The sequence below is a fragment of the Homo sapiens genome, chromosome 20, assembly GCF_000001405.40.
Source record: "Homo sapiens chromosome 20, GRCh38.p14 Primary Assembly".
NCBI classification, from domain to species: domain Eukaryota; kingdom Metazoa; phylum Chordata; class Mammalia; order Primates; family Hominidae; genus Homo; species Homo sapiens.
Genome location: NC_000020.11, coordinates 9618459 through 9637459, shown reverse-complemented (window position 1 = coordinate 9637459; position 19001 = coordinate 9618459). Strand labels below are relative to the sequence as shown.

Here is a 19001-nt window from a genome sequence, read left to right as displayed (position 1 = left end):
TCCTCAGACTCTTTTAGGGAGTCTACAAAATTAAAGTTTGCTTTTTTTAACTCTCGTTTCCTGTGTATACAATGGAGAAGCTACATTACATGTGATAATGTCATTCATTGGTGGATGCTTAATGGATCATGTGCTTTATAGTCTTATGTTTTAAATTTTCTTGGGTGGGCACATGCCTGTAATCCAGCACTCTGGGAGGCCAAAGCAAGAGTGCTTGAGTTCAGGAGTTTGAGACCAACCTGGGCAACCTAGCAAAACCTCGTCTCCACTAAAAGTAATAATAAAAAAAATATTAGCCAGGCATGCTGGTGTACACCTGTCATCCCGGCTACTCTAGAGGCTGAGGTGGGAGGATCGTTTGAGCCTAGGTGGTCAAAGCTACAGTGAGCCACGATTGAACCACTGCACTCCAGCCTGGGTAACAGAGCAAGAACCTGTCTCAAGTAAATTAATAAGTTTATCAGTTTTAATATCTAATGCAGTGAATATTAATAGATATAATATAAACTAAGGTCTCTTTTAGGTCCTCAATAATTTTAAGAGGTTCCTGAGACAAAAAGTTTGAGAACCACTATCTTGGAACTTATATTAAATGTGATTATCTGTGGCTTCTGCAACTTGCCTTTCACACACTACTGACTTTTTTGTTGTTTTAAATGAAAATAGAGACTTTTGTCTTTTCTAGTTGGCCAGCAATCTTCTAATCTCTACAACCTTTTCAAAGATTATTGAATACAATATTCCATCCCTTTTCGTGTATACTATATAATTTCTCTAAACCAGCTGTTTTGAAGTTTTTTAAATTGTTAGATCCTTATTTACCATCCCTTTTCTAATTTAGCCTTCAAAGTCTTCCTAACAATCTTCTTTTTATCTTTTAAAGATTGAAGAGTCACAGAGAAGACCAATACAAAGCTGGCTCTGACTTAGTTTTGTTTGTCTTTGTAGTCTTCGGTATTTTATAATCTTTCAAAGCTGAGGTTCTGTCTCTTCCTTTTTTATCGACTGCTGCTGAGTACTGCTTTAAAAACTTCTCTATTCACAAAAACAGGAAAAATCAAGAGAGGTAAATCTTTAGGTCTGGCCATCCCATTCTTGAGGACCACTGTTTTATTTTCTCTCCCATCGTAGTTTATGTTGAAAGCTCATCCAAAATTGAATCTAATTTAATTACTCTGAAATTCTCTACCTTTCTCTATTTTTGTGATGCTCAATTTTGCATTGTATTTAGAGCTATATCATTTTTCTTAGTTTTATTTCCATGGGATTCTCTCTTTCCTTTAATATTTTTAAAAATCTGCTTTCCCAAAATACAGGGCAACTATCTGACATTTTCTAGCATTATTTCCCTTTGACCTAAGGTAACAGTTTTCCCCAAGGTTCCTTCTCAATTACGCATAACTGATGTGGTCTTCCTTGTTGGTCAGAATTAAGCCAGAAGGAGTTATTTCTTTTAGTGCCTCCTTTACTTTCTGAGAGTTGTTGCCAAGCAGTTTAAACTGTTTCCAGATGTTTGCCATGCTCCTAGCTGAGTGAAGCTCCCAGCAATTCTGAGAGCTGGGGCTGCCCCCTCATGACTTTTCTGGCTCCCTTAACAGGTCTCTTCTTAAAGCTCACAGATTAGGTTCCCCATTACTTTCCTATCCTCTTAAATCAGTGTTTTTTGTTTGTTTGTTTTTGCCTCTCCCTTCTTTTAGACCTGCTTCTGCTAAAATATAGTGTTGAGCTAGAAGCATCTTTTTTGCAACATGAAGTCCAGTGCCTTCATGTTCACTGAGCTGGGTCACCCCTTTTCATTTCTAAGTTCTCATCTGGATGAACATCAGGGCACTTCTAAGAGGTAACAATGGAGCCAGGAGAAGACCTTGGAAAGGGATATATTCAAAGGAAGGAGGAAGAACTAGTCCCAAGACCCTGTGGCAGGAACAAGCTTGAGGAGTTTAAAGGAAAAACAGATCATCTGTTGGGTAGAGCAGAGCATGATGGGGAGAGGGGTGGGGGATATGGCCAGATGGACAAGTAGAGATTGGATGGCACGGGGCACTTTTGAAAGCCACAGTCAGGAGTTTGCTATTTTGTGAAGCCTCTGTGCATGAAGGACACAGGTCTCAGATCAAGAAATTGTCCTAATACAAAATGAATTGATTTATTTAAGGGTCAGACCCAATGTATAGTGTACCAAATATATTGATCTAATATGTAATCCTGCAGGTGTTAGAGGTGTGTTAGTCAAATGGTTGTGAACAGTTGGGATGCAGGAAGTTCTTCCAACTTAATGATTATCAGAAGACATTTAATAAAAATTCAAACCTTCTTAAAGAAGAAAGAGTGTATATGTTATAAAGACAGTTAATTTCATTGCAAAGTAAAAGCAATTATAAAATGAAACCCATTAGACAGATTACCTATGTTTTAAAACCTCTTGTCAAAAATGCCACTTCAGAAGAACTGCATTGAGTTCTTCAGAACCAAGGCCCTCAGCGGGAGGAGAGATTGCTGATCCTTTGTTAAAGTTGTTTATATTATTTTTATACTTGCAAAACCAGTGAGGACAATGGACTTGGACACTCACATTTCTCTTGGTGCCTGTTACTTCCTGGAATCCCTCCTTCCAGTGTCAGTATGCCTTTTCAGCCCTCCCACCACCACAAAGACTGTGGAATAGAAACATCACACTGGCCCCCATTTTCTCATTTGCCTAAATTCAGGAGATGTGGGCAAGGTAATCTTGTTTCCAAATAAAAGAAGAAATCCAAAACCAAAGCTAGATTTATTATATTTCTTCATTTTTATGATCCCATCCAATCTGGAAACTTCAGCCAAGCAGTTTTTGATTATATTAATGTGGTTATTTTTTGATGTGCACCATGTCAACACACCATCTTTCCCCATAAATGTCTCTTTCTCACACCCTTTAAAAGTAACAAACTACATCAACCACTAATAAGAACCAACTTTGTTTACATTAGTGTTTTGCAGGGTTTTACATAAGCCACTTTAAGATTTTCTTAAACTTTGAACAAACTTAAGCTCACATGGCCTAGTTATTACTCTAAAAACAAAAGCTGATGTTTTCAGAGAAGACAGTATCACCCCAGGGAATTTATCCCTGTGGGTACCCACCACTTCTTCTATTTGGAGGAGGGCCAATGTTAACCACACACCTCCAGGCCTCTTGGCAGGGCCATCCTGGTACCCAGAGTGACAGCTCTGTAATCACAAATGGGTGATGTCACATCTATCACACCTGCAGCTCCCTGGAACCAGCAGAGAATAACTGGAGATTCATGGTCCATGATCCTGGCATTTGGAAGACTGCTCCTAGGGTCCCAACTAAAATTGGGTCACTGAGACCTCATGAATGAATGCTCTCAGTTACTCCCCATCAAGGAGTAACTGTAATCTCCTGCCAAGGATTATTAGAAAATAATCCTTCTAAATCAAAAGAAAAAAGGCATGTGGCCCTCTGTGACTCCCACTCATGCTTGGAACTTGAAAGATTTAATCTCCTGCCACCTCAAGACCAAGGTAAACACAAATTGAATGTACCATTTTAAAGCAATTGTCAGTTATAGGTTATATTGAAAAGTTATTTACCACCAATGGTTAGATCTATCCCTGAAGGCCTCTTCTCATGGTTCAAAATGCTGTTCCCAGCATTCCTGCAGTGGCTGTGTTCCCCTACTGTAACTCCTGGGAGGAAGTGATAGAGAAGAACCCACACAGGGACCGCATATACTGAGGGTTCCTGTGAGTACCTCCACTTGAGTGTTTTACCCCAACTCTACTCCCAGAGCAGAAGCTGATGTGAAGGCAATGCAGGTGTCAAATCTGTAGTAATCTCTAGTTTTTGTTGAAATCTCTTAGGCAACAGGCCTGACCAAAATCAAGAGTATCATTACCAAATATCGGATGGTGTTTTACAGAGTAAAAAATGTTTAAGATTTATTCTTTTGTGGCACTTATAATAACAAATAGTTTTAACCCAGTTGTACAGATAAGTCTTGACTAAGTATGATTGATTAGTGCAAATTCACCCAATTTCTAAGTTGAACCCAGTTATTTATTTATTTATTTAGAGACAGGGTAATGGAGTGACACCCTGTCTCAAAAACTAAATAAATAAACTCAATTTTTCATTTTTCTCACCACAGTCTCATACAGGACTGAGTACTTCCCCATCCCTTGAATTTGCATGGGACTCACATGGCCAGTGGGGTGATGTGAGCAGACTTCTAATGGACAGCTAAGATTTCCCTCTGTGCTTATGCCAACATCATAAGAATATGCCTTAGATGACAGACTGCCTGCATCTCTGAAACTGGAAGCAGAGCCACCCAGCCCCAACCTCATTGTATGAACCTGAGTGTGGGTGGTTTGTTGTGCAACCTTATAGGACAACTGACTGATACTATCTTACTTAGCCCCATACCAGCCTTTTCAATTAGAGAGTAGTAACTCCGTCTTTTGGGTAAGGAAAGCAAGTCTTAGAAAGTTTAAAGGATTTGTTTAAGATCCCACTTCTGTAACTGGAAAGGCCCAGGACTCAAACCTTATACCTATCTGACTCCAAGACCTGGGCTTGTAATCACCACATCACTGTGCCTCCTGGTAATAAGTATGTTTGGGCATGAAAAACTGTTATGTGCATAAACGATGCTAAGTCAGAAAACAAAATTGCTTCCTTCTTACCTTTTCACCTTGTAGATTGTGTAACTAAGACTCAGGTAGGCACAGTGTTTTTTCCTAAGACCACAGAGCACATTAATAGCAGATATTATTTCTGTGGGTAAGGAATGCTTTTGATTCGATCATGTAGAAATCCCAGATTTAGCCCATGAGCTCTCCCTTGAGAATCTGACAAGGACATCTTTATAAATACCTACCTGACTATGATTCCCTATCATTACTGCCATATGACTTTATTTTTTAGTTGTAGAGTACTCAGAGCCCTTTGCAGAGTCTTTCATTATGCATGTAATCCACGCAGTCTTCTCAAGTGAGTTAGGCAGAATATTTAAATAGGAAATGTCAATGAAATCATGCAACGAGAAGCAAATGAGTGAGCTTTCAAACGTGTGCCACTCATTCCTTCTCCACTATGGCCTGGATGCTCCCTGAGCCCATCATATTTTAGGTCAAACAGCATACCCCCCAGATCACAAGCCTGTCTCCAGAACTGTGTTGGTTTCCCATAGAGTGGCCCTCTCTGAACTCCTGAAAGCTGAACTCATCAAATAAGGACAGCTGTGCTTTGATAGCTGGGAAATTCTATATAATGTGAAATGATATTCTAGGGGACATCTTCTTTTCCCCAGCTCTTCTCTCCCAGCAGTGGTGACCTAACTGAAAATAATCCTTCTAAATCAAAAGAAGAAAGGCATGTGGCTCTCTGTGACTCCCACTCATGCTTGGAACTTGAAAGATTTAATTTTATCTCTCATTTAGCATCTTATAGAAATTGGGACACTAAGATGGCAGCTAGAGGCTGCTTTAGTGGAACTATCAAATCCTATCCTTTTTAGTGTTTTATTGTGTAATTTTAAGTGGAAGCATTATGCTGTCAACTTTATACTGATGATAAATCTATCACTTTAAAATCATTTCCAAGCAGCACATCACTATCTGATTGGATGCTACTACTGTTACCTGTAAGGTTAATGGCTGCCTAAGATGGTACCTGTCTAAGTGTTTGCTAGAATCACTGAATCCATCACCTGTTGAGAACCTTCATATCAGCTTTCTATTACTGCATGACAATTACCACTAAGTTAATGGCTTCAAAGAACACATATTTATTATCACAGTTTCTCTGAGTTCAGAGTCTAGGCATGGCTTAACAGGATCTTCTTGCTCAAGGTTTCACAAGGCTGCAATTAGGGGGCCAGCTGGGCTTCATTCCCATCTGGAGGCTCAAATGGGGAAGAATCCACTTCCAAGCTTATTTAGTCAGAATTCTGTGGGCAGAATTCTTTTCTTTGCAGCTGCAGAATGCGTGACAGCTTGCTTCTTCAAGGCTAGCAGGAAAGCAAGAGCTAGTCTGCTTGGACTATATATATAATAATGTACTCACAGAAGTGATATCCCATCAGTGTTGCCATATAATGTAAGTTAACCATGAGAGTGACATTCCATCACCTTTGACATGTAACGACACAGAAGGGACAGCCTCTTACCTTTACCATATTCTATTGGTTAGAAGCAAGCCACAGATCCTGCCTACACTCATGGAGAGGGGATAATCAAAGGCATGATCACCAGGAGGTGGGAATCATTGAGGGGTCACCCTAGGGTCTGTCTACCTCGTTCCCAATGTCACTCCCACATGCAAAATACATTCATCCCAGCCCAAGATCCCAAAGTCTCATCTCATTGCAGCATCATCTCAAAGTCCAAACTCTCATCATCTAAATTGTGATTAGGTATTGATGGAGTGCTTGGGAGTAATCTATTAAATACAGCTGTTGGGGCACAATTCCTTTCCATCCATGGACCTGTGAAGCCAAAGAGACAAATTATATGCCCCCAGCCTGTCCAACATGTAATGGTGGGACAGCACAGGATAACCGGTGTAAAAATTCTGATTCAAAATGGGGGCAGGGTGAGGGCAAGTGAGTGGAAGGAAAAAGGGAATTACTGGTCCGTGACTCTTCTGAAATCCAGCCAGGCAAATGTTAGGAGTTCCCTGATTACATTTCAAGGCATGGGAATGGCCCTCTGTGGCTTAGGCTCCTCCCTCAGGGTTCTTGGTTCTGCCCTTCCTTTTCATGAAAGGCAGCACATGTTTGCATCCTGAGTAGTTTTATCAGCATGTTTTCCACTGCTAGTAGAATTGGAAGGGTCTGAAAGCCTCCTTTATTTCATACTCTCTTTGTCCCTTTCAGGCCAAGTGGCCAGTATTCCTGATGAAACAATTCCTTAAGAACTTTGTAGAGTTTGTGTGGATTCACTGCAGTTCACTCCATTAGGTGATGCCACATCCACAGATATTTTAAAGATAAGCCTTCCTGTTCCTTGGCCTCCTTCTGAGATGACTGAGGGACGATGCCCATATGCTTCCTTGAGGTTTTCTGGCTTGATTGAGAAGATCTGTAGGGCAGACCTTTAATTTCTTAAAAGACCCCTTCGTGTAACTGCATAGTTTTGTCTTTTGATCTTTCTAAGTTTCTAACAAAGAGCTCTACAGTCTCACTCAGACTTTTCCCTAGTGCATGCTTTCCTGAGAGTGAACCTCTTCATTTTAGCATCTGTGCCATCCAGAGATCATCGGAATTTTTTACATCATCAGATTCTGATTCTGTTTTTTGAGAAAAATTGTCCTCCCAATCTTCCTCTTTCCTCACACATTTTACTACAAGCAGAAAGAAGAAACCAGAGGGTTCCTTCAACACTTTTCTTGGAAATCTTTATACAGCCAAGTATCACTTTCAATTCTGCTTTCCACACGACCTCGGGAGACTATTTCACCGAACTTCACATTACAAAAGATTCTCCCTTCTCCTTCCTTCAGTTTCCGATTAGTGTTCCTCACTTCTGAGCCTTCACCATCAGCATCCTCAATGTCCAGTTTTCTACTCTGAGTCTGTTCATGTCATTTAGGCTTTTTCTACCATGTTCCTCAAAATTCCCCCAGCCTTCACCCACCTGGTTACAAAACCCCTTCCACATTGTTATGGATTGAACTGTGTCCCTCCCAAACTTTATACATTGAGATGCTAATCCCCAATGTGACATTGTTTAAAGATATGGACTTTAAGAAGTAATTAAGGCTATGTGAGGTCACAAGGGTAGGACCCTAATCTAATAGGGCTGGTGCCTTTATAAAAGAAAGGAAGAGCTCGGTCATGGTGGCTCACACCTGTAATCCCAGCGCTTTGAGAGGCCAAGGCAGGAGGATCACTTGAGTCCAGGAGTTCAAGACCAGTTCAAGAACAACATAGCAAGACCCTGTGTGTATTTTTTAAATATTTCAAAAAAAAAAAGGAGGAGGAAGAGACACCAGAGGTGCCCACCCAGAGAAAAGGCTATGTGAGGATACAGGTAAGAAGGCAGCCACCCCAGTCTGTGTTATTTTGTTATAGCAGCCCAAGCAAACTAATACTCATGTTTTTAGGTATTTGCTATAGCAGTTCCCCACTTCCAGGTATCAAAAGCTATACTAGTTTTCTATTGCTATGTAACAAATTACCATAAATATAACAGCTGAAAACAACACACATTTGTTAGTATCCTTGCAGTTTCTATGGGTCAGGAGTCTGGCACAGCTTCACTGACTCCTCAGGTCTCAGAGGCTGAAATTCAGGTGTCAGCTGGGCTACATTCCCCACTGCCTTCCCATCCAGAGGCTTGACAGGGCAAGAATCCACTTCGCAAAATTCATTTCCTTACAGTTCTGAGGGAATGGGGTACTGAGGCCAGAAAGGAGAAGAAGCCTGGTTTGTTGATGAACAGGCAACCCCATAGGCAAGCCGACTCAGTTGTGCCAGGGATGCTCTGAGATCACATGGAGCACACCTCACAAGTAGCCCAGCAAGGAGCAAGGAAGTTGGGACATCTACCCACCAACTCCAAGCTTTCTTGGTTGTGCGTTGCTCCCAGGAGTTAATTTCCTGGCAACTCCACACTTGGCCATGCATTCCCCAACAGCCAGAGGACACCTTGTGGTAGAGAGACTCAGGGAAACTTCAGCATGGATAGGAAATTTCTGCAGGTGGCCTCTGGGGTGGACTGAGGGGATAAAGGCACAGCACCGGTGGCAACTGCTATCAGTATAATATCAGCTTTCATTTCCTTAACAGATGTTTATTGTGCACCTACTATGTTCTGAGAGAAAAAACAACAGTATTTGGTCTTCACCTTCACAGAGTGCACAGTCTAGTGAGGGAGAAAGAATTGTAAAGACAAATGAAAACATAATGTTATAACAGAAGTATAAATATTTTGTTATGAAAGCTTTGAGAACAAAATGACTATACTTCCTACAAAATTTGGAGATGTAACTTTGGATTTTATGGAAGAGTATAGTCTTATATTCATACCTAATGAATGAATATCCCTATGTAAACAAATAGTAACTTTACAAAGAGGCAGTGACAATGTATTGCTTAAGAGCCCTCTGGAGCCAAACCATCCAAGATAAATAAAAAAATCTTGATTCTTCATATTCCAGCTATATGACCTAGTGCAAGTTACTTAACCTCTGTGAGCTTCTGTTTCCTCATCTGTTAGAAGTGGATATAACAGTACTACCTCATAGGGCTGGAGTAAGGATTGAATAGCTTAATACATTAAAACATTAGCAGTCAAGAAATAAAAAATGAATCAAACCAAATGGTCACATGTACAAAGTATAATGAAAATTCCCTTTTTTAAGAAGAGAACAATATTTTGAGATTTTCTCTCTCAATTAATAAAACAAAAATTATACATGTATGTCTTCATCATTTTAGGAATACCATTTGGAATAATTTATATGTAACTCTCTAAACCGTACAAGTGTGAGTTCTCAGAGTTCTTATAAATTTGAATGGAAAGGCCAGGCGCAATGGCTCATGCCTATAATCCCAGCACTTTGGGAGGCAGAGGCAGGAGGATCACTTGAGGTCAGGAGTTCGAGACCAGCCTGGCCAACATGGTAAAACCCTGTCTCTACTAAATTTACAAAAATTAGCCTGGTGTGGTGGCGGGCACCTGTAATCCCAGCTACTCGGGAGGCTGAGGCAGGAGAATCACTTGAACCCAGGAGGCGGAGGTTGCAGTAAGCAGAGATCGTGCCACTGCACTCCAGCCTGAGTGACAGAGTGAGACTCCATTTAAAAAAAAAAGAAAAGAAAAGGAAAAGAAAAAACATTGAATGGAAAAATACCGCAGGTCTCTTTCACTTGTGGGTGCATTCAAGTGTGAGGTTTCTAAGGGCAGGCTTCCAGTGGTATCTTTCACCTGAAACCTGCAGGCTGCTGCAGTGCTGCAGGCCATTGCTCCTACCATGAAGCAGGAGGCAGAGCAATGACTACTTGCAGCAGCATCTGACATTAGCAGCCCTCACCTCCCGCCTCATGGGTCAGCAGCATCTTTGCAGGACATGTGAGCTGTGAGGCTGGAAACCTCATTGGCTGGAAACCCCAAGCCAAGTTCACTTTCTGAAGTCTGTAGGGGTGGGGAAAAGGAGCACTTTTTAAACAACACTAAGGAGAGGTGCATGAGGAAATAGCTTTCGTCAAATCTCCATGTCCTAAAGCCAGATCCCACTTAGCTTAGAGCAGAAAGCTGGAGAAACAGCTGAATGTGATAAACCTTCTCTAGAAATGAAACCCTGTGGTATGTTTAGCAGATATTTTTATCTATAGAAGAAAATGTGCTTCCTTTGAGAGTTATTTCTAAAAACCTTTCATTTTTATGTTTTTACCACTTGAGAGCACTGAGTATTCATCATAGGCAGCTTAGCAAAATTAGAAAACTGGAGAAAAAAATAAAGACCTGTCTTTTTTTTGAATTTTGAATTTTGGTGTATTTTTTACACCATTTTAACACAGACACATGTGCGTACACATACACGAAAGGGTGAGATTGTTGACTGTATTTACACAGTTTTGATTTCATTTTTTCACCAAATTTCAGGGGTTACCAAAGTTTCTTGGTTCTCAGTAACTTGTCACAGCACCTCCTAGAAAAAAAAATAAATAAAAATAAAAGCCATTCCATTTATTAGGTAATTCAGTCCAAACTGTAAGTATGGCATAACAACAAATACATGTAAATTGAAATTTGCAAAATACTTATATTTCATTCTGAAACACTGGTGAAATGTGCAGGCCTGCTGGACACCGCCTCACTTCTCCAACCTTGGAACCAGGTTGGATACCACACCCTCACCCTCATTTCCTGTTCCACATTGATTTTCACACAGGACTTTTTGTTTGTTTGTTTTTGGTCATGGCAACTGCCAGATACACTGCTTTACATTTGATGTCATCAAAATACATGTAGTGCAATCTAATGTTGAAAGATGCACTAGTAATTTAGAAGGTGTCTCACAAGTTAAATATCGTTGTTGCCTTCAAAATTTTAAAATAGCCTGCCACAGCATTGTAAGTTCGCTGCAGTTAGTTCCCTGGGGTACCTTGGCATATGGTTTGGAAACTATGAACTTAGTTTCCTTTTGACAGCAAGATTATTTTTATTATTTTTCTTTTTTTTCTTTTTCTGTTTTTGTTTGTTTTGGATTTGCAATATTATTTTAAGTGTCCACATTAGAATTCTACAGATGTGCCATAATTTTAAAACCCTCTTATTGTTGGAAATTTATGTTGATTGTTAGTTTATTTTTATTGATAATTTCATTGTCTTCAAACGGGTAAGAAACTCCATTGTTTTATGTAAAGGTCGAGTCTTTGAATCCACAATTACTACCCATAGTTATTTGGCCTATTTATATTCTTACCTTGCAGTTTCAGAGCCCAGTGAGCCCAATTAGCTGGTGGCACCTGCAGTCCTGAATGCTATGATTTTTCACCTTCCAAATCCTATGATCTTCATGGTTTTGTCACTGATTTGATTTTGGAAACAGTGAGCCTAAAACAGGAAACTATTTTTTAACCCATCAGCTGCGCTTCAGATTTTCAAGTTAATGAATAAAAATAAAGCCAAGGAATTGACAAGCCTATAAATTGTCAGCAACCAGCAAAGCTAGGAGAACACAGGGAAGGAATGAAGACAGAGCCAGGCACAGTGGCATGCACCTGTAGTTCCAGCTACTGGGGAGTCTGAGGCAGGAGGATCATTTGAGCTCAGGAGTTCAAGGCTGCAGTGAGCTAGGATGGTGCCTGTGAATAGCCACTGTACTCTAGCCTGAGAAACATAGCAAGACCTTCTCCGTAAGAAAAAGAAAAGAAAAAAATATGAAGACAAATAAAAATCATTGTGAAATTCAAAAAAGTCTTACTTTTGATAACTTCACACCAAAAACCCGTGCACAGCACTATGCCCTACACCATCCATGGGCGTGGTGTAGCAAGGGAAGATGTGAGGGGACTACCCAGCATGGCGCATAGCTTCTTGGCACAGCGTTGTAGAAAGTGGCTCATATTTGAAGTTAGCTCTTCAATTAAGGGTAGATCCTCAATGGATTATTCTTCCATTAGCTTTAAACTAGCATGAATCAAGTCAAATGAGAGGGTGTCCGGGCAGAGAGTGAGAACATCAGGATGAAGGAGTTATCAAATATAAGGAGATGGTGTTGAAGCTAGAGCTTATGAAGGTGGTGGAGGTCATTGATGGTGGAGAAGGAAGTGGTTTGGAGGTGATGGAGGTGGTTAAAGGTGGTGGAAGTGGTGGTGGTGGAAGCTGTGGAGACAGTGATGCCAGTGGAGATGGCTGGTGGATGTGGTGGTGGCAGTGGTGGTAGTGGTAGTAATAATACTTTTTTAACCTTCATGAATGGCTACTTGTAGATGTAAATGGCCCGCATCTATTTTATGCCCAGTTATAAAGTTCTGTTGCCCACAAACCAATGTGAAGAATCCTTACTTAATTGCTTATAACAGATTCATAATTTGTTTGTTTGTTTCTGTGAGATGCGAACTCACTTTGGGATGTAGGACTGGGGCTCATAGTTAGTAACATATTTGAACACACATTACCCCATCTAAGCCCCTGTGAGGTAGGTATTATCCTTCTTTTACAGACTGGGTGATCTGAGGCTCAGAGAACCCAAAGGACTCACCAACAGTCACACAACTCTCAAATAGCAGAGCTGAGGCGTGCTCCACCCAGCTCAGGAGACTCCAGAGCCAGGGCCTTTCCACAAAGCACAGAGCTGTGTTTGAGATCGCTGTGACTTGTCAAGGGTATAATGGGAACACTAGCACATTATAAGACAGAGAGGTAAGGAGAAAACATGAACCTTAATTTTAAGAAAACAGATAAGTTGGAAGAAATTCTGTTACCTTTATAATATTTCTACCCCATCCTGGACATGGCATAAAAATCTTTCTAGAAGTACCTTCCAAGTGTACAAATTCTACTCTTTTCTAAGGTATTCACCATATCCATACCTTTTTTAGGTATTCAACATTCAATTTGTTCAGCATTATTGAATACCCGTCATGGGCTAGGCATGATGTCAGTGCTTGCTGAGATGTGAAACTGAGTATGTCAGTGACTGAGATATTGATAACCAAGACAGGCTAAAATTTCTATAGGACTGGACAAAAGTTGCATTTTCTGATACAGTTCTCCTATGCCTTACTTATTTTTATAGCAAAAACTCTTTCTGCCAAATTTTGAGATAAGTATGTTTAAGTCTTTCTCTAGAATTGTGATTTTCCTATGTTTTTCTTACAATATTTTATTGTCTAATATTGGACCTCATATTCAGCATTGGGTTAAAATTGTCTTGACTACAAGACATACCATGACCCTAAAGTGGGATTGTTGGATCATAAAGCGTATGTACCATTGAATTTAGTAAGTACTGACAGATGGCTCTCCAGAATGACGGTACCAGTGTACTCCCCACCAGTAAAGCACAAGGTTGCACACCTTACATTCTCACCATGCCCTGGTATTATAAACTGAATATTTGCAGGTCTAAGGAGGATTTCATTGTGGTTTTTATTTCCTCTCTTTTCACTATTGTGTTTGAGCATCTCTTCATATCTTGTTAACTGTTGGACCATTCATTTGGTGAATTGCATATTCAAATCCTTTGTCAACTTTCCTGTTGTTTTGCGAGAATTCTTGCATTACTAAGAGTTTCTTTAATGCATTTAACTTTAAATGCCCCCTTGTCTTATACTTTCAAACCTGATTTCTCTTTGTTTGTACCTATCTTAGTCTAATACTGTACTTTTATTTGGGTATCTGTAAGCATTGTCTTATAAACAGCATATAGTTGTTTAGTTTTATGTTGTTTTGTCTTTATTCAGTCTGACATTTATTGGAATTTGGTACAATAATTTGGTACATTTATATTTAGTATCATAACTCATCTACTTGATTTCATTTCTTCCCTATTACTTAATGCTTTATTTAATGTACATTTTTATTTTCTCCTCTTCCTTATTTCTTGCTGATTTGATCATGTTGCTTTTCATTCTGTTCCTCTCCTTTATTAACTTGGAGTTTCCACTGTTCCATTCCACTAATGGATTCTCCACTTTCTGTGCTGTTGTGATCAGATACCTTCCCTTTTTACTATATTTTTCAACAAACTCCCAACTCACTCCCCCAATAATATTAACTGTATCTCTCCCCACAAAATGCAATATGTCCTCCCTATTTCTGATTCCAATAAGATGAGACAATTAGAAAAATGTCTTCCATTCCTCTTCTTCCCTTTCTCCACTCCTTGTGACACAGAGACTTTGAAATACTTTTATTTCCCTAACTCCTAGATGTTGATGGACTCATTTTATACATACAGCACTAAATTATTATTAGAATTTTCTGCATATTGTGTTTTAAGAGCCCTTATTTAGCAATTTTATAACACATCATTCCTAGACAGTCTTACTTATCCATTCAGAATTAATTCAATAAAGAGAGAGAGAAACAGAGAGAGAGATACAGACTGAGCACACACCAGGTGTGTTGCTTAACACAGCAGTCCCCAACCTTTTTGGCACCAGGGACTGGTTTTGTGGAAGACAGTTTTTCCACAGACAGGGGTGCGGATGGTTTCAGGATGGAAGTGTTCCATCTCAAATGATCAGGCATTAGATTCTCATAAGGAGCACACAACCTAGATCCCTCACATGCTTGGTTCACCATAGGGTTTGCAACCCTATGAGAATATAATGTCGCTGCTGATCTGACAAGAGGCAGAGCTCAGCTGGTAATGCTCACCGGCCCACCACTCACCTCCTGCTGTGCTCCCTGCTTCCCAACAGTCAACAGACACTCCGGGTATGGGTCCATGACCCGCGGGTTGGACACCCCTGAATTAACTGAATTAACAAGTTTCCCCCTCCTCCTCATGTTTACTTCATCTTGAGGTCAATGTCTAGATTAGCACTATTCCGTAGAACTTTCTGTGATCATGTAAATGTCCACTAGGGTACCTACCAGATACATGGAGATATGGAGCTCTGGAAATATGTTGAGGATGACTCAGAATTGAATTTTTGATTTGATTTTATTTTAATTAATTTTAATTTAAATAGTCACATATGTCTAGTGGGTACCATATTGAAAGGGAAGATCTAGATCATCTGTTATTTGGATAAAGTCTTGCCTAGCATTACCTCAAAATGGTTAGAGATAACTGTAATATATGATCATGTTTTGCTTTCTTAAATCTAACATATAATCACGTATATATTTGGTTTTGGTTTTGCTAATGAGTGAATTATATCGTGGTTGAGTATAGGTTTCCCAGTCCTTTCCTTTCAGGCTGGGCTTGCTAGAAGCAGAACCTCAGATGGGGATTCTTCTGCAAGTGACTTACTGAGGGAGATGTCTCAGGAGGCACCCGTGACAGAATAAGGTAGGCAGGAGAGTGCTGAAGAATATTATGGACAGAGCTGTGGTTTCAGTTCCAGTCTAGCCTGAGCCTGAGACCATGGAGTATCAATGGCACCATGGGGTTGTCTCACCTGGAGATAGCAATTCTGACTTTTATTACCATTTTTCAATAAGTCATTAGCTGAGACCATCCCCAAAGAAAGGCATAACACCGCAGGCCCCGCTGCATGAGGCTGTGAGCACTCTCTGGATAACTGTGGGCTGTTCTCAGGAGGAGTGGCCTGCCATTGCCCGTCAGCCACCACACTCAGACCTAAGTCAACTGCAGGACTGTACTTATTTAAACTTCAGGTTTTTAGATAATAAGCCCATTGGTATTCTCATTCTTTCTTGGAAGTATGTAAGAGTTTTTTTCATTCTTAGAATTAAGGAATTTTCTAGGATATGCCTACATAAGTATTTTTTTTTTTTTTTTTCAAATCAGCCCATTAATATTCTCTCTTTCCTGGAAATATGTAAGAGACTTTTTTTATTCTAAGAGTGAAAAATTTTTCAGGATATGCCTAGGTGTGTCTTTTTTTTTTTTTTTTTTAATCAGTCCTGCCCTGAACTTAATGACATTTTTTTAAGCTGTCTATTCAGGTCCTTAGCTCAAGGAAATTATCATCTATTATTTGTTAAATTCTGCCCGCCATCTGTTCCTTTTTATTCTTCTGACACTCCCTTATTTTGCATGTTAAGTCTCTTTTTCCCCTATGACTTTCCTCTCTTTATATTTTTGCATAGGTTTTGAGACATCTCTTCTACTTGTCAGTCTAAACCTCATGTCTCAGCAGTGACCATCTTCTCCTTCAATCAATGCTTTGAATTGCCTATTTCCAGACACTCTCTTTTGTGTCGTGCTTGAATCAACAGAGATGCTCTTGTTGCTTTTTACATTCAAGTTGTCATCTGTCTCTTCCGGTAGCTCTGTTTTGTTGGGTAAGAGTTTAATCTGTTCTGAGCCATTGTTCTCTCTCTCTCTCTCTCTCTCTCTCTTTCTCTCTCTCTTTCTCTGGCTGCTGGATACCTTTGGTTACAATATATTAATATATATATATTTTTTCTGGCTATTTTCTTTCTCTGTGTGGTAGTAGTCCCATGATTAGAGGAAGACAAAATGGAAACTACACCTGGGGACTGATGGCGTCATGCAGGCAGACTGTCAATTCCCCATTGAGATGCACGGAGGAAGCCCTCTCTTCCTCCACCATCTCTCAGACTCTCCCAACCTCCAGGGCAGAGACTCTGTATAGCTTTTAAACACCACATCTCCAGAGCTGGGAAATCCATGGTGCCATAGTTCACGGTCTTGGGTCCCCATATCACTGTGAGCCATGTTCTTCCCAGGACCTGAGCCTGCTGTCCACCCATGAGCAGCTAGAGCGCAACCTCTTCCCCATCCAGGTGGAAGCAAGCCCACAAGCTCTCTCTGTTGAGATGTCCTCAGCACCCAAGCCTTGCTGGTCCAACTGCCCATCAGCCCCAGACGCCATGTGGTCAAAAGAAGTGGACACCCTGGAGTTGAACATGGAGGAGAGGGAGAATTGTTTAGGTCATGATGGTCCCAGAATCCTCCTCCTGCTTTCCGCAATCCTTCTGAAGAGACCTGAATTCAAATTTTCATTGTTCCCTTTTAGGATCTTTGTTTCAACAAATGCCAGCCAAATACCAAGCCCAGTGCTGAGGACACAACATTGAATAAATCAGGGATGAGTCCTTCCTTCTAGGAATGTTTACTCCAAAGGGGAAATAATTGTCCATGTGATCTAGCTCTAATTACAGAGTGTTGTGAATGGGCAAATAAAGGCTGTGGTGGAGGGCAGTGTTGCTGATTCATATTTCTGCCCTCACTTTCTGTACCCACCTTGTTACAACAGAACTTCCGTCCATGTTATCTGTACACTAAAGGTGTCCATTTCATTCCATCTCATCCTTGGACAACGTTTAACAAGTTGCATGTGAAAAAAGGTGGCTGAGATGATGGAAAATCTAGAATTCAGGTGATCTGATGATTGGCTGAGAGTACTGATGATTGGCTGAGAGCACTAATGATTGGCTGAGAGCACTGATGATTGTCTGAGAGCACTGATGATTGGTTGAGAGCACTGATGATTGGTTGAGAGCCCTGGTGATCTTCTGTCAAAGAATCAAGGGAGGGAAGTAAACAATTACTTTCTTCAAACATTGAATGACTGTCCCACAGCAGGGGAATTAATAACCTCTAGGAATCCCCTGGAAGGAAAAATAGGAAGAGGTAAGTGAAGGCAGCACGGAGAGACTCCAGTACTTTACCTCAATAGGGCAAGACTTGGAAATGTGTTATCCAGCAATGCAAGGGGCTGCCTTGGAAAGGCGAGCTCCTCATCTTTAGGAATGTTCAAATATTTATCCAACGGCACCCTTAAAAGGGACCTGAACACAGCAGACAGGGCAGGAGAAAAAGCCAGGAAGAACTGGGAGTTGAGAAGTTTGTTAGGGATTTGGTGTCTGAGAAATGAGAGTATTGGGCAGTGAAAAGGGGTAAGAGAAGTGTGGCCAGGGTTGCCAAGTGTGTCTCCTTCAAAGAGAAGCGTGGAAGGAATAGAATTGTTTTTCAGTTTTATCTTGCCATGTCCTAGATAATAGCTAAGTTTCCTGAGATCAAAAGCAGTCATGGCTTTTTTCTTCCAAACTTTCTTTGTTTCTATTTTCTCTGGTCTACCTAAAGTAAAACAACAGTAAACAATAGGATCTGGCCAGGCACAGTGGCTCACACTTGTAATCCCAGCACTTTGGGAGGCTGAGGCAGGCAGATCATTTGAACCCAGGAGTTCCAGACCAGGCTGGGCAACAAGGCGAAACCCTGTTTCTACTAAAAATACAAAAATTATCTAGTTGTGGTGGTACACACCTGTAGTCCCAGCTACTCAGGAGGCTGAGGTGGGAAGATCACTTGAGCCAAAGAGGTCAAGGCTTCCGTGAGCCATGATCCCATCACTGCACTCCAGCCTGGGCAACAGTGAGATTAAAAAAAAAAAAAAAAAAAAAAAAAAAAAAAAAACGAAAGAAAGAGAGAGAAAAGAATCTGAGAGAAGCCACTTTCTACCTTCCTTTCTTCCTCTTAAAACCTCCAGTCCTGAAACATATGATATGTTATGAAAATATCGATTCATCTCAGCTTTTCCTTAAGTTGCTTGTACTTATAGAACTGTACCTGTCACCCTGCTCAATAAAGATTTGATGATTGAATTAAAAATAAGTTCCAGCCGGGCGCAGTGGCTCACGCCTGTAATCCCAGCACTTTGGGAGGCCAAGGTGGGTGGATCACGAGGTCAGGAGTTCAAGACCAGCCTGGACAACATGGTGAAACCCCATCTCTACTAAAAATACAAAAAAAAAAAAATTAGCTGGGCCTGGTGGCACATGCCTGCAATCTCAGCTACTCGGGAGGCTGTGGCAGGAAAATTACTTGAACTCGGGAAGCAGAGGTTGCAGTGAGCCAAGATTGTGCCATTACA

At 40.6% G+C, this 19001-nt stretch overlaps 1 protein-coding gene and 1 long non-coding RNA gene across 8 annotated transcripts in view; one reads left to right on the top strand and one right to left on the bottom strand.

Moving 5' to 3' along the window:
* Window positions 1-19001, top strand: part of PAK5 (p21 (RAC1) activated kinase 5) — a 301707-nt gene that overhangs the window by 201617 nt on the left and 81089 nt on the right. The window lies entirely within an intron of this gene.
* Window positions 10562-17453, bottom strand: LOC101929348 (uncharacterized). The gene is made up of 3 exons (XR_244242.4): window positions 17369-17453; window positions 11441-11571; window positions 10562-10663 (listed from the first exon to the last, which is right to left on the bottom strand). It is a non-coding gene; the product is annotated as an uncharacterized LOC101929348 (long non-coding RNA).